Below are 26,861 nucleotides of genomic sequence, written 5' to 3'. Positions count from 1 at the left end.
TACAGCAACCAGAGAAACTAAAACAAAGTTTTATAGCTAAAAAAAATGCACAAAGACAAAATAGAATACTAATAAAATTCAATTAATTTAAAATAAAGGAAAGGAGAAAAAAGTAAAAAGAACAGATAGGGTAAATGGAAACAACTAGAAAGATGGTAGATTTAAAATCAACCATATTAATAACTACATTAAATTCAGTTGGTCTAACTACTCATATTAATGGGGAAAGGTTGTCAGCCTGGATATAAGAATGAGAATCAATTATGTGTTCTTTATAAGAGATGTACTTTAAATATAAAGACAGGTCAAAAATGAAATAATGGAAAAAGACATAAGCAAATGATAAACACAGGAAAGCTAGTATTACTATATTGATATAGTCGACATCAAGGCAAGGAGTATTATCAGAGGCATAAGGGGTTATTTCTTCAGAAATTGTTATAAGGATTGTCATGAGGAAACCATAACAATCCTAAAATTGTATACATCGAACAACACAGCTTCAAAATACATAAAGCAAGATCTGAGAAAACCAAAGAGAGAAACATATAAATTTACACTGTAGTTGAGAAACTGAAACTTCACTAAATCATTAACAAAAATCAATAAAAACTAGGAAAAAATAGTGTACAAGATTTAAACAATGCTATCAACCAACTTCACCTAAGTGGCATTTATAGGACATGCTATTGAAATTGACGAGAACACACACTTCTTTCAGGGGCACAGGGAACATTCACTAACATAGCTCATAGCTCATATTCTGGGCAATAAAACAAGTCTTAATGTATATCAAAGGACTGAAATCATATAGAGTATGTTTTCTCCCCACAGTGGAATGAAATTTAAAATTGGTAATAAAAAGATATCAAAAAATTATCAACTATTTATTTTATTAATTAATTATTTTTAATTAACTAAATATTAGTTAACTAGTTATTAGTCAACTAATTATTTTTAAGTGTACAACTTAGTGGCTTTCAGTACATTCGCAGTGTTGTACAACCATCACCACTGCCCATTTCCAGAACTTTTTCATCATCCCAAAGAGTAACTCTGTAAACCACTAGTCAATGATTTCCATTCCCTCCTCCTCCCTCAAGCCCTTAGTAACCTAATAGTGTGTATTTCACTTTCTGTCTGAATAAATTTGCATATTCTAGGTACCTCACATAAATGAAATCATACAATTTGTCCTTTTGTGTTTGGCGTATTGGACTTAGCATCATATATATATATACAAATATATGGGTTTAAAAAAAATTTTTTTTTAGACGGAGTCTCACTCTCTCACCAGGCTGGAGTGCAGTGGCGCGATCTCGGCTCACTGCAGCCTCCATCTCCTGGGTTCAAGCGATTCTCCTGCCTCAGCCTCCGGAGTAGCTGGGACCACAGGCACGTGCCAACACGTCCAGCTAATTTTTATAGTTTTAGTAGAGACGGAGTTTCACCATGTTGGGCAGGATGGTCTCGATCTCTTGACCTCATGATCCGCCCACCTCGGCGTCCCAAAGTGCTGGGATTACAGGTGTGAGCCACTGCACCCGGCCAGCATCATATTTTTAAGTTTCATCCATATGGTAGCATGTATCAGAGTTTCATTCCTTTTTAAGGCTGAATAATATTCCATTGTAGGTAGATACAGTAGTCCCATTTTACCTATGGGGGATACATTTCAAGATCCCCAGTGGGATGCCTGAAACCACAGATACTATCATACCCTATATATATTACATTTTTCCATCTCATAACAGAGTCAGATACTAAGTGACTAAGGGGCAGGCAATGAGGATATGATGGACAAAGAGATGACTCATGTCCCGGGTGGGATGGGGCAGAATGGTGTGAGATTTTATCAGACTACTCAGAATGGCGTGCAATTTAAAACTTATGAAAGGTTTGTTTCTGGAGTTCTCCATTTAATATTTTTGTACCTGAGTTGAACACAGGGAGCTGAAACCATGGAAAGCAAAACCATGGATAAGGGAGGACTACTGTAGTACATTTTGTTTATCTGTTCAGCTGCTGATGGATACTTGAGTTGTTTCCACCTTTTGGCTACTGTGAATAATTTTGTTATGAACACTGGCATGCAAATATCTGTTTGAGTCCCTGCTTCTAATTTTTTTTTTTTGAGACAGGGTCTTGCTCTGTTGCCCAGCTTGGAGTGCAGTGGCACAGCCATAGCTCACTGTAGACTTGACTTCCAGACTCAAGTGATCCTCCCACCTCAGCCACCTGAGTGCTGTAATCCCAACACTTTGAGAGGCTGAGGCAGGCAGATTTCATGAGCCCAGGAGCTCAAGACCAGCCTAGGCAACATGGTGAAAACTCATCTCTACAAAAAATACAAAAATTAGCCAGGCATGATGGTGCATGCTTGTAGTCCCGGCTACCTGGGAGGCTGAGGTGGGAGGATCACCAGAGCCCAGAAGGTTAAGGCTGCAGTGAGCTGTGGCTATTTTTTTTTTTTACTTTTTAAAGAGATGGGGTCTCACTATGTTGCCAGGCTGGTCTCAAACTCCTGGGCTCAAGTGATCCTCCCCCTTCAGCCTCCCAGAGTGCTGGGAGAGTGCTGGGATTACAGGGGTGAGCCACCACACCTGGCCTCAATTCTTTTGGGCATATACCTAGGAATAAAATTTCTGGATCATATGGCTATTCTGTGTTTAACTTTCTAAGGAACCATCAAATTGTTTTCTTCAGTGGCTGCATCATTTTACATTTCTACCAGCAACATACAAGGGTTCCAGTTTCTACCAGGAATGTACCAGGGTTCCAACTTCTCCACATCCTTGTCAACACACCTTTTCTGTTTCTTTTCTAAAAATAACAGCCATCCTGAGGGCATGAAGGAGTATCTCACGGTGGCTTTGATTTTCATCTCCCTATTGATGAAAGATGTTGAACAGATTCCCATGTACTTTCTGACAATTTGTGTATCTTCTTTGGAAAAATGCCTATTCAAGTCTTTCACCCATTTTTGAATTGGGTTGTTTGGTGGCTTTTTTGATTGCTGAATTAAGCAAAAAACTTTTAACTAATATGTAGATCAAAGAAGAAATTGCAAAGGAAATTATAAAATATTTTTAGTTGAATGATAATGAAAACACAAAAACTTCTGGAAGGAGCTATAGTTTTAAATACTTACATTAGAAAAAAGCAAATATATAAATTTAATTATTTATACTTCTACCATAAGAAACTAGAAAAAGATGAATAATTAAGCTTAAAATAAGTTTAAAAAGAAAGAAATCATGAAGATTGGAATAAAATTTAAAAAATAGAGGATAATGACAAAAGAAAAATAGGTTCTGTAAAGAGTTTTTTAAAATTACAATCTCCTATCTAGATTTATCAAGAAAGAGAAATAATACAGATTACAAAGAATGAAAGAAGGGGCATCATATAGATCCTACAAATATTAAAAGAATAATAAGGGCACATTGTAGACAACTTTAGGCCAATAAACTTGACAACATAAACATACACATTCTTTGAAGGACATAAATTACTAAAATAGACTCAAGAAGAGAAATAGAAAATACAAAATAGCCTTGTATCTATTAAAGAAATGCATTTGTTATTAAAGTCTCCTCCACAATATATTTGTACTGGTGCAGTCTATCAAAAATTGAAGGAAGAATTAATATTAATCCTATGTAAACACTCTCAGAAAATAAAGGAGGAGAAACAATTCTCAATTCATTTTATGTGGCAAGCATAACTCTGGAAATGCATTACAGGAAAAGGTTAGTACAAAACACTGTCCCTTATGAACATAAATGCAATAATCCTGAAGAAAATAATAATACATCAAGCCTAGCAATATAGACAAAATGATGATACATCATGACCTAATGGAATTTATTCTAGGAATGCAAGGTTGGCTTAATATTTGAAAACCAATTAAAGTAACTTACTATATTAATAAAAATAAATGAGAAAAATCATGTGATCAACTCATTAGATGCAGTAGAAAAATTTAACAAAATTCAGTATTCATATATAATAAGGGGCTTCTACAAAAACCCCACAGATAACAGCATACTTAATAGTGAAAAACTGAGCACTTCTTTTAAGATTAGGCACAAGGCATGGATGCCTGCTCTCACTGGTTCTGTTCAAATCACACTGAAGATATAAGCCACTGCAATGAAGCAAGGAAAGGCACATAAAATGGAAATGTTTGGGATTGCCAAAATCCTGCATGTTCCAAAGAAAGGGCTGGTCCTGGGCTAGAAGGAACTCTGAGTTCTTGAAATATACTGCCTGGTGACAATGTCTTTGTTTACCTGAGACCTTCAGCCTCTTGGATCTGTTTGAGCTCTGGAGAGGCTGGAGGATGAATGGCTAAGATCAGTCATGTGGACTCTGCATGTCTGTGAGATGGACCCCCATGAAGCCCTGCACTCCGTGGCTCTGGAGAACTTCCTGGTTGGCAGTTCTCCATCTGTGTTGCCACACATTGTTGCCAGCAGGATTAAATACTGTTCATGCGACTTCACAGCAAGAGACCAACCAGGAGCTGATGCCTGCTCCTTCCAGGATGCTGCCCCATGTCCCTCTTACTTTTGTTGATTTCAGTGTGTAGCCCTTCACAGTAATAAGCCACAAATGTAACACCTTTTGTTTTAGTTCTGTGAGCCCTTCTAGTGAATTATTGAAACTGAGGGTGATCTTGGGGACCCCCTGACCCTTCACAGAGGCAAGGGAGCCAGCTCCTGAAGGTTGAGAAGGAGTCCTCCAGGCAGAAAGGAAGGCGGGGTTCCCAGGTAGAGGGGCCGGGTGCCCAAAAGCCTGGAGGCAGGAAATGGAATACAGCCTCAGCCTCATTGCCTCTTTGACTCCAACAGAAGACAAAAAGGTAAGTTTTGACTTTAGTTAGTGTGCAAAAGGGAGGTTCCCCTTTTAACAGGCAGCATGACCAGTGCAGGCTTTGATGCCGTGTCTCTTAGAGGTGCACAAAGTAGCAAGGATTAGAGCTGTTGTAGAACCACAAACCCCAGATGTCCACCTGGCTGGACGTCTGGAGGACTCCATGGGGCATGGAGGGTGGAGAGCAGGAAGCAGTTTGGAGTCTCTCCACCCTCTGGCTCCCTTCAGGCACTCCTGTGACCTGCCAAGGAGGGGATTTCTAGTTTCTAGAACCATCCACTAGCATTAGGACCGTCTCTTTTCTGACCAAGGTGGTTGTTGTCTGCTTAGACCCCCTTGGAGACTGAGGCTTTCAGGAGGGAGAGCAGGCTGGTGAGGAACCTGCCAAGAGTTGGAGAACCTGCTGCAAGTCAGCCTCAAATGATGTGTGCTGCTTACACTCAGCCACAAATGTACAGTGCCCCAACTGTGCTGAAGATTCAGCAAAAGTTGATCTGAAGACCACCATATGCCCTGAGGATGGCTCTCCTTTGAATTTCTATTCTTATGAGGACTTTGGAGGATACAGCTCCCAGGGAGCTTGGAAAACAGGAGACAAAAGATTAACAATGCTTGGAAAACAGGAGAGGCTATGCTTAGCCACTACCAGGTTCACCCTAATTCTTGGATTCTGTTCTTTCCTCAGTCTTCTAATGGATAACTGGGTTCTCTCCTCTGCATGAATCTCTGCTGCCTCCTCCGCTGTCCTCATCCTCAGCTGATCACCTTGTCCTCTGCTTCACTGAGAATTGCAGGTGCCATCAGAAAGAACGATCACAAGCCACCACCACCACTCTGATCCCCAAGCTCCTACACCTGTCCCCACATGCATCCCTTTCTTGGTTACTCTGCACAGACGTCAGGCTCTCATCTCTGCACTTGATGTCAAATACTAGCCTGCCTCCTACCCAGGATCACAAATCCACTAGTGCTCCCCGCTCTCTAGAATCCTCTATTTGTCCATCTTAATTGGATTTTATTTTATTTTGTTTTGTTTTTTTTGAGACAGGGTCTTGCTCTGTCACCCAGGCTGAAGAGCAGTGGCATGATCATGGCTCACTGCAGCCTCGGCTTCCTGGACTCAAGTGATTTTCCCACCTCAGCCTCCCAAAGTGCTGGGATTACAAGCATAAGCCACTGTACCCCCAGCCTCTTTTTAAAATATACATTATTATTTATCTCATTTGAGAGAAACCTGAAAGTCAGTTAAAAAAAACTGTATGATTCCACTTATATGATGTACCCAGAGTAGTCAAATTTATAGAGACAGAAAGTTGAATGGTGGGTGCCCAGGACTCGGGGAGGGGATGGGGAGTTGGTGTTTAAGGGGACAGACTTTCAGTTTGGGAAGATGAGAAAGTTCTAGAGATGGATGGTGGTGATGGTTGCACAATATTGTGAATGTACTTAATGCCACTGAACTGTGCACTTAAAAATGATGAGGATGGTAAATTTTAAGCTATGAGTATTTTACCACAATTAAAAAACTGTCAGAATTTTTCTCTTCACTCGAGCTGTGGTTCCCCTCTATCTTGTTCAGCTCCTTCCTTTGAAAGGGTGACCTAAACTCACACTCGACCTGCCTCCCAATCTTTCTTTTTTTTAATCTCTAACTTTCTATTTTGAATTTTTTTTTTTTGAGACAGAGTCTCACTGGCCCAGGCTGGAGTGCAGTGGTGCAATCTTTGCTCACTGCAGCCTCCACCTCCTGGGTTCAAATGATTCTCATGCCTCAGCCTCCTGAGTAGCTAGGATTACGGGTGCTCACCACCATGCCCAGCTAACTTTTGTATTTTTAATAGAGGCGGGGTTTCACCATGTTAGCCAGGCTGGTCTTGAATTCCTGACCTCAAGTGATTTGCCCGCCTTGACCTCTCAAAGAGCTGGGATTACAGGCATGAGCCACCAAGCCTGGCCCATGAAAATTTTTATGCAGTAAAAAAGTTGGCTGGGTGTGGTGGCTCACACCTGTAATCCCAGCACTTTGGGAGACCGAGGCGGGTGGATCACGAGGTCAAGAGATTGAGACCATCCTGGCCAACATGATGAAACCCCATCTCTACTAAAAATACAAAAATTAGCTGGGCATGGTGGTGTGCCCCTGTAGTCCCAGCTACATGAGAGGTTGAAGCAGGAGAATTGCTTAAACCCAGGAGGCAGAGATTGCAGTGAGCCGAGATCATGCCACTGTATTCCAGCCTGGCGACAGAATAAGACTCTGTCAAAAAAAATAAAAAAATAAATAAAAATAAATTGACAGAACAGAACCATGAGAAACGAATGTGACCAAGATAATATGTAATGCTGTGTAATGTATTTAATTAACTTGTGTATTAGCTTCTTGTTGCTGCTGTACCAAATTACCACAAATTTGGTTGTTGGCTTAAAACAGTACAGATTCATTGTCTTCAAGTTCTGGAGGCCAGAAGTCTGAAGTTGGTCTCCCTGGGCTAAAGCCAAGGTGTGCACAGGACTGGTTTCTTCTGCAGGTTCCAGGTGAAAACCTGTTTCTCTGCCTCCTCCAGCTTTTGGAGGCCACCCCAGTTCCTTGGCTTGTGGCCTCTTCCCCACATCACTCCAATCTCTTGCTTCCATCATCCCACCTTCTACTTCCTGTTGTGTAGTCAAATTTCTCTCTGCCTCCCTCTTATAAGGAAATGTGTGGTCCCATTTAGGGCCCACTGACTAATCCAGGATAATCTCCCCCATCTCCATACGTTTGATTTCACCACATCTGCAAAGTTTCCTTTGCCATATAAGATCACTTTCACAGGCTCTATAGAAGAGGACCTGGGTATCTTTGAGGGTCATGATTCAGTTTACCACATACTGGTTATTGTTCTCCCAAACCCCCCAATTCTTCCACCAAACATAACCTCCATGAAGGCAGGGATTTAAAAAAATTTTTAAGTACAACATATATACAATAAATACACAGATCATGAGGGTGCAGTTTGATGATTTTCAAACTGAACACACTTGTGCTGAAGAATCAGGATGTTAGGTTGGGCATGGTGGTGCATGCCTGTGGTCTCAGCTACTCAGGAGGCTGAGGCAGGAGAATCACTTGAGCTCAGGAGTTCGAGGCCAGCCTGAGCAACTTAGAGAGAGCCCATCTGAAAGAAAGGAAGAAAGAAAAAGAAAGAAAGAAAGAAAGAAAGAAAGAAAGAAAGAAAGAAAGAAAGGAAGGAAGGAAGGAAGGAAGGAAGGAAGGAAGGAAGGAAGGAAGGAAGGAAGGAAGGAAAAGAAAAGAAAAGAAAAGAAATCTGGATGTTTCCAGCATCCAGAAACCTCCCTCAGGAGGCAGGGGTTTGTGTCTGTTCTGTTCACTAAGATATACACTATACACTGTGTTTGGAACAGTGCCAGGCATCAAGCAGCATTCAACAAATACTTGGAGAATAAGTGGATGAATTCCAAGACTGTAAGAACAGACTTATGTGAGTCTGGACAAGTTTTTACTTCTCTAAGCTTCAGTTTCTTCATCTGCAAAAGGAGGATCACAATAGTTCCTATATGACAAAGGTACAGTGAGAATTAAGTGATATAAAACACATAAAACCCCTGGCACAGAGCCTGGCACATAATAGATGCTCAGCATGTGTGACAGCTCTCTGCTTTTGCCTTCTGGGAGCTAAAGGAGCATAAGAAGAGGGAAGTTATGCATTATAGAAGTGGTGATCTTGGATGCATAGGGCTTGGAGCAAAGCTGAGAGAAATCTGGGTGACGTGGCAGCGTTTTGGTGCCCTTAAAAGTTCCCCCAACTATAGTGAGCACAGTATCATATTTCTGAGGTACAGTAGAGGCCTCCAGGTTCAGTCTTATACTGTGATATGGTTAGGCTTTATGTCTCCACCCAAATCTCATCTTGAATTATAATCGCCATAATCCCCATGTGTCAAAGGAGAGACTAGGTGGAGGTAATTGGCTCATGGGGCAGTTCCCCCATGCTGTTCTTGTGATAGTGAGTTCTCACAAGATCTATTCCACCTATGGTTGGCACTTCTCCTTCCTGTTGCCTTGTGAAAAAGGTGCCTTGCTTCCCCTTCACCTTCTGCCATGATTGGAAGTTTCCTGAGGCCTCCCCAGCCATGCTGAACTGTGAGTCAGTTAAACCTGTTTCCTTTATAAATTACCCAGTCTTGGACAGTTTTTTATAGCAGTATGAAAACAGACTAATACACACTGGAATGAGATATCCTGCTCTGTCTGGAACTATTTTCCAAGTTCCTGTCCTGCTGCTTATTCCTGAGTCCCCCTGCTCTGCTCAACCCCTTAGATAGATAACCCAGTTGCCTTGATGGGTTTTTATTTTACTGCTCCTCTTGGGTGGCCCAAAGGAAAGTCTTCTTTCACCTTAAAGTCCAAGGTCTTCTGGATACTCTGCTCTCCTTGGGTATATGCTCACCTGAAGCCAGGAATTAGTTAAAGAGCAGAGAAGAGGCAATGTGGTGTATACAACAGTGTAGAGGGAGAAGGGGCAGGGATTTTGAGAATAAATGGTCTTTTATCCAAACTCATTTCAATTGTGGTAGATTTGCCTTCTCACCCAGCTACAAAGGCCTTTGATAAAATAATGGACTAGAGTATTTACCTGCTGGGCTTTTGTGTCCTAAGAGCTGGGCTTTGTACCTGTGGAGCTCTTGTTGGTGCCCATACCTTGTGTATTTCCTCGGATTTAAGCTACAGGGTCAGCTGAGCCAGATTCTTTTGTTGCCCTATGGTAGACTGTGGGTTGAATTTTCCTAGGCTTACCTCTTCTTTTCTTCTCCTCTGCCTCAACTTACTACAGCTTACTGACCTCTCTGTAAATTTGTGTAAAAACAACTTGGGGGTTCCACTTTGTCATTCAAAAAAATCATTGACTGAAAAGGAAGTGAAATGTTTAAAAATATGAACATATCACACCCAGTTTTCTAAGTATTTACAAACAACTGTGTCTCTGCCCCAGAGGCCACATGGCCTCTTACTTCCCACTGAAATCATGTCTGGTCAGTTTAGCTTATTAGAAGGACCCAACCATGCTCATCTCTTTCCAAAACCACTCATAACACTGAATGTAACTGACCAATTGTGCATGGGGTGACCCCTGAATAGGACTGCTCTAAGCCAGGCATCACCTTCTTATAACTGGATGACCACAGACATTTCCTAGCTGGTTTCTTAGCACCCTTCCAGAAACCCAGCAGCCAGACCTGTCCTTTAAAATGCACATCAGATGCCATCATGCTCTTCTCTTGGTCCTCCAGTGATTTCTCCTCACATCCAGAATAAGGTCCAGAGTCCCCAGGGCACCTTAGGAAGCCCTGCCTGACTGAACCCCTCCCAGCCTCTGGCCCCCATGCCACAACTTGCCTCCGTATTAGCTTCCAAGGACTGCTGTAACAAATGATTTCAAACTGGGTGTGCAAAACAGCAGGAATTTATTCCCTCACAATGCTGAGAGAGAATCCAAAATGCAGAAATCCAAAATCAAGATGTCTACAGGGCCACACTCCTTCTGAAGGCTCCAAAAGAGAATCCTTGTTTTTTGCAGCTTAGGGTGGCTGTGTGTGTCACTCCAATCTCTGCTTCTGTCTTCTGGCCTCCTTCTCCCCTCTGTGTCTTCTCCTTTGTGTGTCTCTCTTATAAGAATACATGTGAGGCTGGGCATGGTGACTCATCCCTGTAATCCCAGCACTTTGGGAGCTTGAGGCAGGTGGATCACTTGAGGCCAGGAGTTTGAGACCAGCCTGGCCAACATGGTAAAACCCATCTCTACTAAAGACACAAAAATTAGCCAGGCATGGTGGCACTCGCCTGTAGTCCCAGCTACTTGGGAGGCTGAGGCACGAGAATCGCTTGAACCTGGGAGGCGGAGTTTTCAGTGAGCCGAGATGGCACCACTGCACTCCAGCCTGGGCGACAGAGTGAGTGAGACTGTGTTTCAAAAAAAATTAAAAAAAGAATACATGTGATTTCATTTAGGGCCCGCCTGGGTACTTCAGGATAAGCCTCTCTCAAGGTTCTTAACTTATCCTGAATTTCCCCAGTGAGGTAGTATTCACTCTTTTGCCATATGAAGTAATACTCACAGGTTTCAGGAATTGGGGCATGGATGTGTCTTTTGGGAAGCTACTATCCTGCCCACTGTAGACCCCAATGTTCACATGACCCCAGATCCCTGACCCCTCGCTGTTCCTCAGACACATTTCCAAGGCCCTTCTTCCCTCTGCATGGACTGCCTCCCCACTCCCCATCAAAAGCAGAACAATCTGATCATTCTCCATCCTTGTACTTGGCTTTACAATGCCTGACTTGACTACATTTGCTTACCTATTGTTTTATGTCCTGTCTCTCTCAACCAGTGCAAATGCTCCACAGGGCAGAGGCTTTGTTTCTGCAGCACAGGTGAGCACTCAGCACTGGTGTGATGTTCTATGGTCATCTGGCCCTTTCTACCTGTCTGCTCCCAAGGAAGCATGTGACTTCCTTTCTCATGGCTGCATGATCCAAGGTAGCTGCTCCAGCTCCAGCCGTCCTATTGGCATCCCAGGCAGGGGGAAGGAAGCTGGAGTGAAGGCAAAAAGGGATTCTCTTAAAAATCCCATCCAAGAACTTCTGCTCCTATCTCATTGGCCAGATTTCAGTCATATGGTCACACCAAAGTACAAGAGCTGCTGTTACTAAAGAAGGAAGGGGGAGACAGATATGGGGAAGGAGGCAACTGACAGATTAGACACATCTGAGGTGTTATGCCTGAGTCATCTAATTCTGGGCACCCATGAATCCCAGGAGTTCATGCAAGGACTAGACCAGTTGCTTCAATTCAAGGTGGTAACAAGGGCAGAGGAGAGAGCACTGTAATGAGCATAAGGAGCCTCGGGTGCCAGGTCTGTCTCTCCCCTAATTGCGTTGTTACTTTCTCCATTTTCTGCACCTCTAAAGAGAGAATTGGATTAGATCTTCAGCAGCAGCACCATCATCACCATCATCTTCATCTTCTTCACTATTATCATCACCGTCTTCATCATCACCATCTTCACCGTCATCATCATCATTTTCACTATCTTCATCATCTTCACCATCTTTATCTTCTTCACTAACATCCTCATCGCCATCATCTTCACCATATTTATAATCATCTTCATTAACTTCTTAATCATCTTCATCATCACCACCACCATCTTCGTCTTCTTCACTATCATCGTCATCACCATCTTCATCCTCACCATCTTCACCATCATCATCACCATTTTTACCAACTTCACCATCTTTTTCTTCTCCACTAACATCCTCATCACCATCATCTTCACCATATCTATAAGCATCTTCACCAACTTCTTCATCATCATCACCACCACCACCACTGTCTTCATCTTCTTCACTATAACCGTCATCACCATCTTCATCATCACCATCTTCACCATCATCATCACCATTTTCACCATCTTTATCTTATTCATCACCATCATCTTCACCATATTTATAATCGTCTTCATCAACTTCTTCATCATCTTTATCATCGCCACCACCACCATCTTCATCTTCTTCACTATAATCACCATCTTCATTATCACCATCTTCACCATCATCATCATCATCACCATTTTCACCATCTTTATCTTCTTCACTAACATCCTCATCACCATCATCTTCACCATATTTATAATCATCTTCATCAACTTCTTCATCATCTTTATCATCACTAATCACCTTTATCACTTTCATTGATATAATCTTCATCATCTCATATCATCCAGCACTGTCACCCTCTTCTTCACATAATAACATCATCCTCACATCACAAGGGAGCATAAACTCTTCACTATCTTCACTGACATCATTATCTTCATCATCACACCATCTTCACCACACCATCAGCATCTTCATTATCTTCTTCTTTGTCACCTTCATTGACATTATCATCTTCATTATAATCACTACCACCATCATCATCTTCTTTGACAACACTGTCTCCATGATCATCATCTTCATCATCATAATCATCATCACACATCATTATCATTATCATCATCACCATCTTTCCAGCTCATTCTGAGCACCTGCTGTGTACCTGGCACTGTGCCAAACTGTCATGTGCATCATCTCATTAAATCTTCACTACAATGGTGCCATTTTCCTCCCCCACCCCCCTCCTCATTTTTAAAATGGGGAAACTGAGGCTCATGAAGAATGAGGGACCAGCCATGGGCATATAGCTGAAAAGTGCCAGAGCTGAAATGCAAACCAAACCTTCACATCTCCAAAGGCCTCGGCTGGATTTCCTCTGTAAGGTTCCATCCTCAGCCACCACCCACTCCATGACCTGGGAACGTCAGAGCCCTGGCCTCACCCAAGTGCTGACAGAGTCACTGTGTAAATTGCTTCATAGCCAGTTAACCCCTTCCCCTGCCCACTCCTTTGCTCCCCCTACGCTTGAGACAGGAGCCCCTGCCTTTCCTGCCTTGGGAGAAGGCTCCCTCTTCAAAGTCAGCCTTCCTGGGCAGGGCCTGCCTATTGATGAGGCTAAATTATCAAAGGGCCACATCAAAGCCTGCCAGGGTGGCTTTCTGAAAGGCAATTTACAAAACAAAAAAAGATGCCTGGGCTGTGGGGAGTGGTGGGGCTGAGTTGGTGAAGTCTGCCTGAAAGTGTCGGATAAAAAGCTGGTTTTGCTGCTAAAAGAGGTCACGGAGCCGCCCCCACCCCAGCAAAATCTGCACATTGAGATGGGGAGACCTGGGCTCTAGGCTGTACCTGCCCATGCAAGAGTCAGAACATAGGGATGGAGGCACCCCTAGCTCAGTGGAAGCAGGTAAACTGAGGAAGGTGCCAAGCTCATACCTCCTCAGAAGCCAGGAAGAGTGGACTGTGGGGCCCTTGGCCCATCTGCAAGTGCCCTCAGGGGCACGGGGTCTGGGGTCCCTAGGACAAAAGCCCTGGAGCTACGGCTCCTTGTGCTGACATCTGTCCTGTTAAGCCTTAGGTTACCTTTAAATGTCAATATCCCCATTCTGCAGATTGAGGAACTGAGGCACAGAAGTTTCATTTCTGGCACCTGGCAGAGCTGGGATCTAGACCAGGGCAGCCTGGCTCTGGGCCCTGGGTTCTGTCCTTGTTTCATTGGAAGTCCCAGACTGAAGTCCCCAAGCCAGCTGTAGCCCTCAGACCGGCTTTATTTGGCCAGCATTGGGTTTTCAGCGTTTTCAAGTTAACAGCCAATGGATGAACAATTTCCCAGTGCAGATTTCTTTGTGGCTTCTTTCTGCACCACAGGTCAAATTGGAATGCCCTATTAAAAGTCCAGGCAGATATTTCCTGTTGGTCCCGGGAGTGCAGCACTGGTGTGCACTGGGCAGAGACTCAGGGTCTGCCTGTGAGCACAGCCTCACAGCCTCCTTTGCACACTGCACTCTCCTGGTTCATCAGCTTGGGAGGCAGCCTGGCCACTTGGTTCCAGGTGCAGGTTCTGAAATCAAATTGCCTGTGGTTCGGATTTTGACTGCCCGACTCTCCAGCAGAGGGCAGTCTCCTGCACCTCTCCAGGTTTCAGTGCCCTCATCTGTGAAATGGGAGAGATGACAATCATATCCCTCTCTGAAGGAAGCAGCTCGAGTTCGGTGTTTAAAATAGAACCTGGGGCACGGTGAAAGCTTCCTAAGTGCTGGCTGCTCTCTGCCCTCACTCATCCAAGAGCTCTATGTGAATTAACACATTTAACCTTGACAACAGCCTTGCAGGGCCAGGACCACTGTGAGCACGCTTATTTCATGGACGAGGAACCTGGGTTGTTGCCGTGGCTGCTGCTGGTGGGAGTGGGGGTGCCGCTATGACTGCTGTTTTCAGGGTGCTGCTGTCCCTGCTGGTGTTACTGTCACTGCTGCTTTTGTTATTGCTGCTAATGTTGTCACTTCTGTTGCTGTTATTGCTGCTGTCGTTGTTGCTGTTGTTTTTGAGGTGGTTGTGGTTGTTGCTGTTGATGTGGTTGTTGCTGTTGTTGAATATGCTGTTGCTATTATTGTTGCTGCCGTTGTTGTTGTTGCTGTTGCTGTTGATGATGCTGTTGCTGTTGTGGTTGTTGCTGTTGTTTTGTGGTGGTTGTTGCTGTTGCTGATGATGCTGTTGCTGTTGGTGGTAGTTGTTGCTGTTGTGGTGGTTGTTGCTGTTGTGGTGGTTGTTGCTGTTGTGGTGGTGGTGGTTGTTGCCGTTTCTGTTGTGGTGGTTGTTGCTGTTGTAGTAGTTGTTGCTCTTGTTGTGGTAGTGGTGGTGGTTGTTGCTGTTGCTGTTGTTGTGGTTGCTGCTGATGCTGTTGATGATACTGTTGTGGTTGTTGCTGCTTTTGTGGTTGCTACTGTTGTGGTTGTTACTCTTGTTGTTGACGCTGTTGTTGATGCTGCTGTTGTTGATGATGCTGTTGATGATGCTGTTGTTGATGCTGCTGTTGTTGATGATGCTGTCGTTGTGGTAGTTATTGCTGCTTTTGTGGTTGTTGCTGCTGTCATGGTGGTGGTTGTTTCTGTTGCTCTTGTTGATGATGCTGTTGTGTTGTGGTGGTGCTGGTGGTTGTTGCTGCTGCTGTTGCTGGGAGGGTGCTGGCTGTGGTCAGCCTGTGGGTCCCAGGCTCTGCTACTTGGCTCCATGTGTGACCCCAACCTTGTCCCTCCCTTCCTCCTGCAGCAGGGGTTCTGGAAAAAGCCCAGGGCTGCCAGGGAGGTGGTGGAGGAGGGGCTGCTTTGCCAGCCAGGAGAGGTGGGCCGACCTGGCACACCGAGCCATTCAAGGTGCGCCAGACTGCAGCTGCCCCCCACCCAGCCCCAGCCCTTTCTTCTCTCTGCTCTTTGTTCAGGCCCTTTTGATTTCGGAACAAGGCCCCTTTATGTGGCACCGGCCCCGCCAGGCCTCCCTGTCCCACCCGTGGCTGGGGATTTCCTTTTCATCTGGCACTAGGAGCCCTGGGCTCAGAGCGAGACAGCAGGAGGGATTTGGTGGTGTCACAAAACCTGGGTGACTCAGCTTTCAGTGGGGCATTGTGGCCCCGCAGCTTTGATATCTTAAGCGGGAGTCACAGCAAAGCAGAGCTGGGGCAGTGGCAAGGCGATGCTGCCCGCGAGGGCTGCTGGGGGCGTGGTGTGCATGCTGAAAGGGGGCCTCTCTCCCAGGAGGACTATTCCATTTCGGCGGGAGGACTGGCCTGTGCCCCTGGACTCTTAAGGATGACATTGAGCAGGGTGGCTGCCTCAGGGCTTGGGGGTCGGCCGCTGGCTCCCACCTGCCGTTAGTTCCTGAGGCTTCCCAGGGTATGCGCTTGCAGGCTGCTCTGGCCAGAAGTTTCTAGGCAGAGAGAGACTTGGCCCCAAGCCCAGGGCCAGGTGAGTCAGCCTGGAGGGGTCTGGGCAACCCAGGGAGCTGGTCAGGAGGCAGAAGCTGGAGGGAGGCCAGCAGTGAAGCAGGACAGCTGGGGACCACAGCTCCCTTCACTGCCACTCTTGCCTCTAAGAGGTGTGAGGCCCACGTGGAAACAGAGATGGACTCCCTTTGCCATGGGCTCTTAAGTCAACTATCCTGATTCTCGGTGCCTCAGTTTCCCCATCTGTAGAATGGAGCACCAATCTCAACCGGGCACCATGAGGGTGAACATTGGATGCTCATACAGTGCTTAGAGAAACACCTATGTAGCACGAGTGGAGAGGTTTTATAGCGGTTACCCTCTGGAATTTTTTTTTTTTTTTGAGACAGTCTTGCTCCATCACCCAGGCTGGAGTGCAGTGGTGTGATCTCGGCTCACTGCAACCTCTGCCTCCTCGGTTCAAGGGATTCTCGTGCCTCAGCCTCCAGAGTACCTGGGATTACAGGTGTGTGTCACCACCCCGGCTAATTTTTGTATTTTTAGTAGAGACAGGGTTTCACCATGTTGGCCAGGCTTGTCTCGAACTCCTGACCTCAAGAGATCTGCCCACTTCGGCTTCCCAAAGTGGTGGGATTACAGGCGTGAGCTACCATGCCTGGCCCAACCTGTGTTTTGAAGTCACCTCCTCACCTGCTTGCTGTTCATTGGTGTGGGACGAGGGCCCAGTGATGAACACGAGATGCAGGCTCAGGCAGTCCTGGTGCAGCCTTGGACTAGGGACCTCGGACCACGTGCTCAGCCTCCCTCTATCTTAAAGTAGATAACGTGGCCAAGCCAGCCTGCCTGGGCTGTTTAGGGATTGAATGAGATATTCCACAGAGAGGGCCTGGTTCTGGCCCAGCCCATTCAAGACTTGTCCCCCAGGTCTGTTTCTGTGACGAAGATTTTTTTTTTTTTTTGAGATGGAGTCTTGCTCTGGTGCCCAGGCTGGCATGCAGTGGCACAATCTGAGCTCACTGCAACCTCCACCTCCTGGGTTCAAGTGATTATCCCGCCTCAGCCTCCGGAGTAGCTGGGATTACAGGCGTGCACCACCATGCCCGGCTAATTTTTGTATTTTTAGTAGAGACAAGGTTTCACCATATTGCCCAGGCTGGTTTCAAACTCCTGACCTCAAGTGATCCACCTGCCTCAGCCTCCCAAAGTGCTGGGATTGTAGGCGTGAGCCACTGCGCCCCACTTGTGACAAGGATTTCTTTTTTTCTGAGACAGAGTCTCACTCTGTCGCCCAGGCTGGAGTGCAGTGGCACGATCTCAGCTCACTGCAAGCTCCGCCCCCCGGGTTCATGCCCTTCTCCTGCCTCAGCCTCCCGAGTAGCTGGGACTACAGGCGCCCGCCACCATGCCTGGCTAATTTTTTGTATTTTTAGTAGAGATGGGGTTTCACCGTGTTAGCCAGGATGGTCTCCATCTCCTGACCTCGTGATCCGCCCGCCTCAGCCTCCCAAAGTGCTGGGATTTCAGGCGTGAGCCACCGTGTCCGGCCCACTTGATTGTTTTTTAACAAGAGGCCCCACAATTTCATTTTGCATTGAGCCATGAAAATGTAGCTAGTTATGTAGCTAGTTCTGGATACAGGCATCCTTACCATGCCAAAGACTGGGCATGTCTGCTGCTCCACTGATCTCCCTCATTCCATCAATCTTTCTATCACTCTCCAGTTCCTTTTTCTCTACTCAGACAGATCAAAAACTCTGACATACCAACTCACCTCCAATGAGAACATCCAAGGCCAGGCTCTTGTAGGCACTACCGCTTTTTACAAATTTCCTTCTGAAACATCCTCTAAGAAGACAAGGAGAAATCTCTACTACTCCTCACTAGGCCCCAAATGGACAACTCTGCTAAGTCACCATAATCAATCTGTATTCAGTGTGGAGAGTTTCGTGAATTTGCTCTCTAATAAATATACATTAATCATGTATTAAAAAAAGAAAGTCTGTTCATGCTCAGTAGAGATGCAATCATCCTTTTTTAAAAAAATATTTTTGATCCAAGTTGGTTGAGTCCATGGATACAGAACCCATGGATACAGAAAGCCAACTGTAAATAGTTTTGCTTTGGTTTGGTTTTCTAAATGCTAAATTGTGGTTTGTTAGCCACTCTCCTTTGGGGTGGTTTGTTATGCAGCAAGAGATAACTGAGACCATGAACCATGTTCTTTGTCACAATGGTTCAAAGAATTGAGTCATTTCTGGAGGACATCAGGTGGGAGTGGGGTCCAAGACTGCTCCCGCTGGGGTGGGGACATAGTGGTTGTGGTTTGATGGCTGACATGGCTTAGTCACAGAGGACCTTACATCCTGGTCTGCTCAGGAGAGCCCCAGTCAGTGCATGGGCTCCTCGCACCCTCTTCCACTGTCCTGGGTTGGGTGATAAATCATTTAGTGACCCCGCTAAACACACTCTGGAAACACAAGTACAGGTGTTGTTGGGCCGGGTGAGAAGAGCAGCACTGCCTGGACCTGACCACGGCATCACCCCCTCCAACCTCCTGCAGACAGCCACCAGAGCTCTCTCTGAGAATTGCTGGATGCCTACTGTATGCACCTGGAAGACAGGATACACCTACTGTGTGCACCAGGCTGCAAAAGCCTGCCTGGAAAACACAATAAATCCTTAACTCCTGCAACATCTGAAATGCAAATCATGGATCTAGACCATTCCAATTAGAATATGTCATTTCTCCATTTTCTAAAAACCACATTTAAATAAGTGAAAAGAAATAGGTGAAATTAATTTGAATAATATTTTAATTAACCCAATACATGCAAAACGCGATCATTTCAGAATGTCATCAATAAAAAAACCCTAATGAGCTATTTTACATTCTTTTTTGGGTACTAAGTCTTCGAAATCCAGTGCTATAAAACATCCCAATTCAGATGCTAAATTTTCTTCAGATATATCTGCTCAGATATATATCCTAGATCTCAGATATAAATTTCATAAATCTGTGGTTGAAAAAGTAGATTCACAAACCCAAGTTGTTCCAAACCTACATAAAAATTTTCCAGTAACTAAATTGAGCATCCGTTTTTATTATATATATATATATATATATATATATATATATATATATTTATTTAGAGACAGGGTCTCACTCTGTTATCCAGGCTGGGGTGCAGGGATGTGATCACAGCTCGGCTCACTGCAGCCTTGACTTCCCAGGTTTGGGTGATCCTCCCACCTCAGCCTCCTGAGTAGCTGGGACCACAGGCCCACATCACCACACTCGGCTAATGTTTTTGTATTTTTTCTAGAGACAGGGTTTCAGGCTGGTCTCAAACTCCTGGGCTCAAAAGATCCTGTCGCCTCAGCCTCCGAAAGCGAAGGAATTACAGGTGTGAGCCACCATGCCCACCTAGAGCATCTGTTTTTAAAACTAAAATTTAGTTCATTAAGATATGGTAAAATGAAAGATTCAGTTCCTCAGTCACACCAGCCAAATTTCAAGTCCTCAATCACCACACACAGCCATGGTTATTGAACAGTGCTGACCTAGAGGCTCCCTACTTTTCCAGTTGGGTAAACTGAGGCCCAGAGAGGGGAAGTGTCTTGTCCAAGGCTCCGTATCAGGTTCTGCCTGACTGAAGACCAGATCACATATTTTGGCCCCTGGTCCCTGTTGTTATACCTCATGAATTCACAACTCAGCCTAACTCAGGCACTAAACACCCCCACGTCTGTCCAGTCTACAATCCGCTGAAGCCACGAGCCTTCCTGGGGTGGGGCAGTCGCGTGGGGTGGTGGGCAGTGCCCAGGCTTGGAGCCCGACAGCCGTGGCTGCTGGACAGCGGGTTCCTGAAGCCCCCAGTGATTCATTGTCCCCATCTGTGGAAGGGGATCCTCGTCCCTTCTCATATAGCCGAGCTGCCTGTGCTAGCGGCTGACAGCAGGGCCTCTGTGCCTTGGTTTCTCCATCTGTAAAAGGAAAACTGTGCCGACGAGGCTCGCGAGCCTCCTCTGCAGGGCCGTTGTGTGGGAGAGAATCACCGCCACAATTTGGGGGAGGAGACGGGCACCATGGGAGCCAGATGAGAGAATGCAGGTCTAATCGTCTCCCCACAAAACCCATGTCCCAGTCCCAACTCCCAGTACCTGGGAATGGGACCTTATTTGGAAGGAAGGGATTTGTGGATGTTATGAATTAAGATGAGGGCATGCTGGGGGAGGGCGGTCTCTGCTCCAGTGACCAGTGCCTATGGGAAGGAAAAATAGAGACACTGGCGTGCAAGGGGAAAAGGCCACGGGTAGACAGAGACAGAGATTGGAGTGATGCGGCCTAGAGCCAAGAAACCCCGTGGCCGGGCGCGGTGGCTCACGTCTGTAATCCCAGCACTTTGGGAGGTCGAGGCGGGCGGATCACGAGTTCAGGAGATTGAGACCATCCTGGCCAACAGGGTGAAACCCCATCTCTACTAAAAATACAAAAATTAGCTGGGTGCGGTAGCGCGTGCCTGTAATCCCAGCTACTAGGGAGGCTGAGGCAGGAGAATCGCTTGAACCAGGGAGTAGGATGTTGCAGTGAGCTGAGATTGCACCACTGCACTCCAGCGTGGGCGACAGAGCGAGACTCTATCTCAAAAAATAATAATAATAAAAAAAACCCTTGGAAATTTCTTGGAAGGAGTCTCCCCAGTGTGCGGCCCTGCTGGCACCCGAGTCTCAGACTTGCAGCCCCCAGCACAGTGGGTGGATGCATTTCTGCTGTTTTAGGCCCCTCACTTTGTGGGACTTAGTGACAGCAGCCCCAGGACAGTGAGACAAAATTGATCTGATTCTAATCTCCATCCCAGCAGGGCCGGCCGGAGAGCCCAGCCCAGTGGGCCGGACCCAGGGGTTCTCTCCGTTTCTCAAACCAAAGCCAGGAAGCGGGACTTGGGGCTGTAAACACCACTCAGCAGGGCTGTGGGGCCCTCGGCCGTGCCAGATCGGGCTTCCCCAGCCTGGGAAGAGGATGCGGTTCCGACCGCCACCCCGACCGCCCTCCCCTAACCGCGACCGCGTCGGCATCCTCCGCCTGCCGAGCTCACAATGCAGCTCCACTTGGCCCCTTGAAAGTAGCCGCCCGGGTTCCAATTAGTCGTCATTTAAGGGCCTTAAGTGATGTCCTCCCAGCCGCTCACAACACACACTCGGCCCCTCTGGAGCCTTTTCTCTACCCCAGCTTTGAAGATAAACGGTTTCTTGAAGACCGCAGCATCTTTTTAAAGCCAGAAAAATGGGGGTGGGAAGGCTGGAATGCAGAGTGCTCTGAGGTGGGAAGCAGTGGGCTCCACTGATCCCCCTCCTGCCCAGCAGCCCAGGGTGGGTGGCTGTGATGCTTTGGTGTGGATGCCAGCAAAAGGCTGACGGATGGGGGTGAGCCCACGGGTGGAGGACAGAGGTGTGAGAGCAGGCCTGAGTTCGAATCCTACACCCACTTCCTGCCCATGAGACTGAGCGTGTTGTTCAGCCGTCTGTGGCCAACTCCACCTCTGAACCTGGTGTTGGGGGATCCAGTGTGATCTCCCCACAGTCCAGATCATTGGAGCTGTGATCGTTAAATCTAAAGAACCCAGCCTGGAGGTGAGGGGTTGAGCCTCTTGGGTCTTATTGCCTGCTGTGTGAACTTTCCAAGTCTCCTGACCTCTCTGGGCCTCTGATGTCTACTATAAATAAGGAACCGGGTAAGGGGGTGAGGGAGAAAACTCCTGAGAAGGGAGGTGGGAGCAGCTGCAGGAGGCCCCAGCCCAGCTCAAGTGCCCCCTCACCCTTTGCTTTGCAGCAGGGCAGCAGCAGAACCCAGGCTCATGTCCTCAGGGATCCCAGCCCGCAGCTCGGACGCTTGTCTGGCTTTCTACTCTCCCAATCCCAGCCTGTAGGCCCAGGGCCTGGCACATTGCCGCCAGAAGGCGAAGCTGACTGGGCCGGGGGCCTGCAGGCAGCTTGGCCGAGAGAGCAGAGATCCTCTGTCAGAGAGGGAAGGGTGGCCCGGGTCCCCTCACACCCCAGAAGATCCAAAGTCCAAGAGAAGCAGATGTCCCCAGCACCGGAGGCCTGAGCCAACTGGCATCTGCTGGTGCGATGAGGCCCTCTCCCACTACTCTAAATGGGATGAGAGGCCCAGCCTGCAGCCACACGGGCCCACGGGGACCAAAGACTGATCTGCGTGCAGGGGAGCCAAGGGGTGTGGGTGAGGCATCGTGCAGCCAGGGCACCCCAGTCTCTTCTTTTTCAAGTTTTTTTTTTTTTTGACATGGAGTCTCGCTCTGTCGTCCAGGCTGGAGTGCAGTGGCATGATCTCAGCTCACTGCAACCTCAGCCTCCTGGGTTCAAGCGATTCTCCTGCCTCAGCATCCCTAGTAGCTGGGATTACAGGTGCACACCACCATGCCCGGCTAATTTTTGTATTTTTAGTAGAGACGGGGATTCACCATGTTGGCCAGGCTGGTCTCGAACTCCTGACCTCAGGTAATCCGCCCTCCTCATCCTCCCGAAGCGCTAGAATTGCAGGTATGAGCCACCGCACCCGGCCTCTTTCAAGTTTTCTAACCAAGGTCCACCTGTGACCCCTCCCCAACACCTGCTGCTCGCCCCTTACCCGAACAAGAGCAGGTGCCCGTGTCTCAGCCTGGCATTTAGTTGGCATTTGAAAATACTATTTGGTCAAATTTATTTTTACAGTTACATTTGAATTAGAGTAAGTAATGCTGGTCTTTACTGACGATGAAGGTTCAGAGTTGGCTTTCAAATAAATTTGAGTAAAAAATAGCAATGAATCCATGTATTCTTCGCAGATATTTTCTTACTGGCAAGATGTGTGCTGGGACGTTTTTAGCTGCCATGAGCTCTCTGGGGGAGCTCCTGCTGCAGCCCAGTAACTGGGGGTCCAGTGTTGCTCACTCTTGCTGGGACACCGAATCAATGAATGGCCCACACAGATACAGAGCTACAACTGATAACCTGGGCCGGTGGCTCAGCCTCTCTGCCCTTTGAGTTCCAGTCTACGTTGAGTTATTTGAATATTTAATACATGCTTGAGCAGTTCTAAAGATTTTATCATCACAAAAACCCATGAAGTAAGTGTGGTGGGGAAACTGAGGCACAGAGAGGTCACAGGACAGGTCAGGGTGAGGCCGGGGTGGGACTTCTGAAGCTCTGTGCCATGGTCACCTTGTCAAGGACTGTGCGGGTACTCATTCAGGGGGGCAAGGCCGCCTTCAAATCTTCCTTTCTGCACCGTGCACCAGCAGCTGGGACAGAAGTGTCCCCAGACTCTTCAAACCCGTTGTAAACAGTGCTGGTGGCTGCAGCATCCTTTGTAGGTTGGATCTGCTAGAATATCTGTTTGATTTCCCATCTGTAGGGACCGTTGCCTTAATCCCCTTCACGTCCTGAAGCTGCCAGCCCATCAGGAAGCATTTTCATACGCATTCGCTTAGCAGGGTGTGGAGTCATCCCTGTCTTGGTGCAAGGTCAGTTGCCCCATGGCCCGGGTCCCAGGAGCCTTGGTGCTTCAGGAGTTTCTGAGGCTCCGGGAAATGCCTAGACAGAATTACCCAGGGCCGACCAGGAGCTGGCCTGAGCCGCTGAGCTCCCGCCTGCCTTGTCACATGGAGGCCACAGCATTTCTTTACACGGGTCTGGTTACCCTCCGGACGTTCCAGCCTGCCCAGAGAAATGCCGTTTTTCTTTCAGGTGATGCATTCTGAGCATCAAAGCACAGGACAGGCGGGAATGCTGTCCCTCTGTCCCTGGATAATGGGCTGCCTTCACTCCCATGGCAAGCACCTGAGTAAGCCTGGAGAATCCGAAAGGAATTGTGAAGTGACACTTTTAGGAAACCCATTCATGGGGAAATGAGTTATTTTTGTTGTCAGACAATGGGGTCAGTCACTGCCCGCCCCATTCCTCCACGCTAATCACTCTGGTGTCTTATGCTGTGTGTCTGCTCCCCACCAGGACATGCCCCAGGTGATATATGCATGTCATCTTTTTTTATATAAAAATATGTGTATACTTTGTCTCCTGTTTATATATACAATGTCCACTGCTACTTTTTTCCCTTATCTTATCATGACCTCTTCCCCATCCAACACACAGTCTTCGTAATTGTCCTTAAAGCTGGGTGATAAGTAGTTCAGAGAGAGGTGGCAGAGCCTGGTGGTCAGGAACTCAGCTCCCTGCTGTCAATCCTGGCTCTGCCCCTCAGCTGCTGAGAATTGCAGGCAAGTTGCTCTGCCTCTCTGTGCCTTTGTTTTCTCATCTCTGAAATGGGGCTATTAAAAGTCCTTACCCCTGGGTTATAAGGATTAAATGAGTCAATATTTATAAAATGCCTAGAAGGATGTGCTGTGCATTGCATCCTCGTGACCTCAGTTCATGGCTGGGTGTGAAATGGGAACACAAAATATTGCTGAATGAATGAATGAGTGAATGAATGAATGGACGACACATGTTAGTGGAGGAGACGGGACGCGGCGGCTCACGCCTGTAATCCCAGTACTTTGGGAGGCTGAGGCAGGCGTTCTTTGAGAGGCTGCACTTTGGGAGGCTGAGGTTAGGAGTTCGAGACCAGCTTGGCCAAGATGGTGCAACCTATTCTCTACTAAAAATACAAAAATTAGCCAGGTGTGATGGTGCATGCCTGTAATCTCAGCTACTCGGGAGGCTGAGGCAGGAGAATCGCCTGAACCTGGGAGGTAGAGGTTACAGTGAGCTGAGGTCATGCCACTGCACTCCAGCCCGGGCAACAAGACCGAAGCTCCATCTCAAAAAAAAAGTTAGTGGAGGAGTTATGAGACTGTACTTTCGTCTCACAGATGGCCTAAGGCAGTAATTTCCATAGTTGGCAGACCACGGGCTTGCCTGGAGAATCTTGACAGACATTTGGATGCCACTGGAGCCTGGGGTGCTCATCATGAAGAAGGCAGGGTCCCTTGGTGCTCACACCATGCACCTTCTGAGGAGGTGGCCAGGCGGCAGCCTGGGGGAGCCCTACTGCAAGTGGGGTCTCCAGGTGGGCATCAGTGGCCCCAGGTGGGTCTAAGTGGCCTCCAGGTAGGTGTCAGTGGCTCCATGTGAACATCAGTGGTCCCCAAGTGGGCATCAGTGGCCTCCAGGTGGGTGTCAGTGGCCTCTATGTAGGTATCGGTGGCCCTAGGTGGGCGTCAGTGGCCCTGGGTGTGTGTAAGAGCCGCGGGGCTATCTGTCAGACTTCGGTCATACAGTGGACCTCCAGGGGCTTGAACACATTCTCCTGAGGCCACCTTGAGAGGGTGGCACCCTGCACAGCCATCCCAGTGGAAGATTTATAGACACAGATGCTCAACGGCTCTCAACGAACTCTCTTTTGGGAAGGAAAGTAGGTTCTGACATTTTTAGGGCATTTTTGCAAGAGGTTTGTGGTGAGGAAACTCCCCTCCTGGGGCATCTTCCCAGATGGACTGGCACCTCTGGGTACATGGGACTCCAGGGTGGGTCCCTGGGGCTCTGGCTTCTGTGGCTTTCCTGTTCTTTCCCCATTCCAGGGGCCAAAGATGGGGTTACATCCCGGGACAAAGATGGACAGTTCCAGTTCCAAGTCTGGGGTTCTGGCCCTTTTGAGGGCGTTTTGAGGTGGCATCCTCCTCCTCCTCCTCCTGAGCACTAGATGTCCTCTCTCAGGCTGCTCAGCTCCTTCAGAGCCCACTGCTCATCTAGGAGGGCCGGAAAATGACGCAGGGCTCGTGCAGCCCCCAGCTCGTGGTCCCAGGCAGAAAAGGATCCTGGGAAGCTGCAGCTGCTGTACATGGGGGGCTGGGGGAAAGGAAGAGAGGGAAAGGGGGAGACAGAAGGCAGGGAGAGGGAAAGGAAAGGGGGGGAAGATAATATGTTGGAGTGTATATGGGATCTGCCTCCTGCCCTCTCTGGCACTTTCCAAGTGCACACACATAAGAGAACAAGAATATTCAGTGCCACCCTAGTTTGCACTGATATTAAATAGAATCCATGCGGCAACCCCCACAGGAGTCACTGAATTAACTGGAGGACAGTGGAGTCCCACTTTAGCTGTGAAAGGGATGGAGCAGTGGCCTGGGCACTGTCGCACAAAGTGTCCACGACGTTCTGCTCCCGACAGAGCAAATGGCGGAGCAGCCTGTGTGTTAGATGCAGGTGTGTGCTTGCAACGCGTCGGGGAATGGGCTGAAGGAATCCACACTGGAAATTGTTAGGCCCTGCTAGCCTGCTACATAATGGCCTAATGTATAATATTTATTGTCCACCTCCCCACGCTGGAACTGAAGCCCCACGAGGCAGGGACTTTTGTCTGTTTTTTGTTGTTGTTGTTGATGTTTCCAAAGCGCCTAGGGCAGACCCTGGCATATAGTAGGTGCTTAAGAAACAGATAATGAGGCTGGGCGCAGTGACTCATGCCTGTAATCCCAGCACTTTGGGAGGCCGAGGTGGGTGGATCACCTGAGATCAGGAGTTTGAGACCACCCTGGCCAACATGGTAAAACCCTGTCTCTACTAAAAATACAAAAGTTAGCTGGATGTGGTGGCGGGCGCCTGTAATCCCGCTACTCA

General features: G+C 47.3%; 7 annotated features.

Annotated features, from left to right (window-relative positions):
- Nucleotides 4,335–4,504: an enhancer, noted in NCBI's record as "experimental_21658 CRE fragment used in MPRA reporter constructs". NCBI's record gives its function as "activates a minimal promoter by MPRAs in K562 erythroleukemia cells, with activity observed for both the introgressed and non-introgressed 11:69667056 variant alleles {active_cell/tissue: K562}" and the evidence as "EXISTENCE:reporter gene assay evidence [ECO:0000049][PMID:34662402]".
- Nucleotides 9,173–9,770: an enhancer, noted in NCBI's record as "OCT4-NANOG hESC enhancer chr11:69661705-69662302 (GRCh37/hg19 assembly coordinates)". NCBI's record gives its function as "activates a minimal SCP1, AML or CMV promoter by ChIP-STARR-seq in primed H9 embryonic stem cells {active_cell/tissue: H9 hESC(primed)}" and the evidence as "EXISTENCE:reporter gene assay evidence [ECO:0000049][PMID:30033119]".
- Nucleotides 13,142–13,808: an enhancer, noted in NCBI's record as "NANOG-H3K4me1 hESC enhancer chr11:69657667-69658333 (GRCh37/hg19 assembly coordinates)". NCBI's record gives its function as "activates a minimal SCP1, AML or CMV promoter by ChIP-STARR-seq in naive H9 embryonic stem cells {active_cell/tissue: H9 hESC(naive)}" and the evidence as "EXISTENCE:reporter gene assay evidence [ECO:0000049][PMID:30033119]".
- Nucleotides 18,480–18,680: a silencer, noted in NCBI's record as "peak1329 fragment used in MPRA reporter construct". NCBI's record gives its function as "represses an SCP1 promoter by STARR-seq MPRAs in K562 erythroleukemia cells {active_cell/tissue: K562}" and the evidence as "EXISTENCE:reporter gene assay evidence [ECO:0000049][PMID:32103011]".
- Nucleotides 19,564–20,369: an enhancer, noted in NCBI's record as "H3K4me1 hESC enhancer chr11:69651106-69651911 (GRCh37/hg19 assembly coordinates)". NCBI's record gives its function as "activates a minimal SCP1, AML or CMV promoter by ChIP-STARR-seq in naive H9 embryonic stem cells {active_cell/tissue: H9 hESC(naive)}" and the evidence as "EXISTENCE:reporter gene assay evidence [ECO:0000049][PMID:30033119]".
- Nucleotides 21,177–21,982: an enhancer, noted in NCBI's record as "H3K4me1 hESC enhancer chr11:69649493-69650298 (GRCh37/hg19 assembly coordinates)". NCBI's record gives its function as "activates a minimal SCP1, AML or CMV promoter by ChIP-STARR-seq in naive H9 embryonic stem cells {active_cell/tissue: H9 hESC(naive)}" and the evidence as "EXISTENCE:reporter gene assay evidence [ECO:0000049][PMID:30033119]".
- Nucleotides 23,793–24,384: an enhancer, noted in NCBI's record as "NANOG-H3K27ac-H3K4me1 hESC enhancer chr11:69647091-69647682 (GRCh37/hg19 assembly coordinates)". NCBI's record gives its function as "activates a minimal SCP1, AML or CMV promoter by ChIP-STARR-seq in naive H9 embryonic stem cells {active_cell/tissue: H9 hESC(naive)}" and the evidence as "EXISTENCE:reporter gene assay evidence [ECO:0000049][PMID:30033119]".

The sequence above is a fragment of the Homo sapiens genome, chromosome 11, assembly GCF_000001405.40.
Source record: "Homo sapiens chromosome 11, GRCh38.p14 Primary Assembly".
NCBI classification, from domain to species: Eukaryota; Metazoa; Chordata; class Mammalia; order Primates; family Hominidae; genus Homo; species Homo sapiens.
Note: the sequence above shows the minus strand (reverse complement) of the source record. Positions and strands in the feature narration are given on the sequence as shown.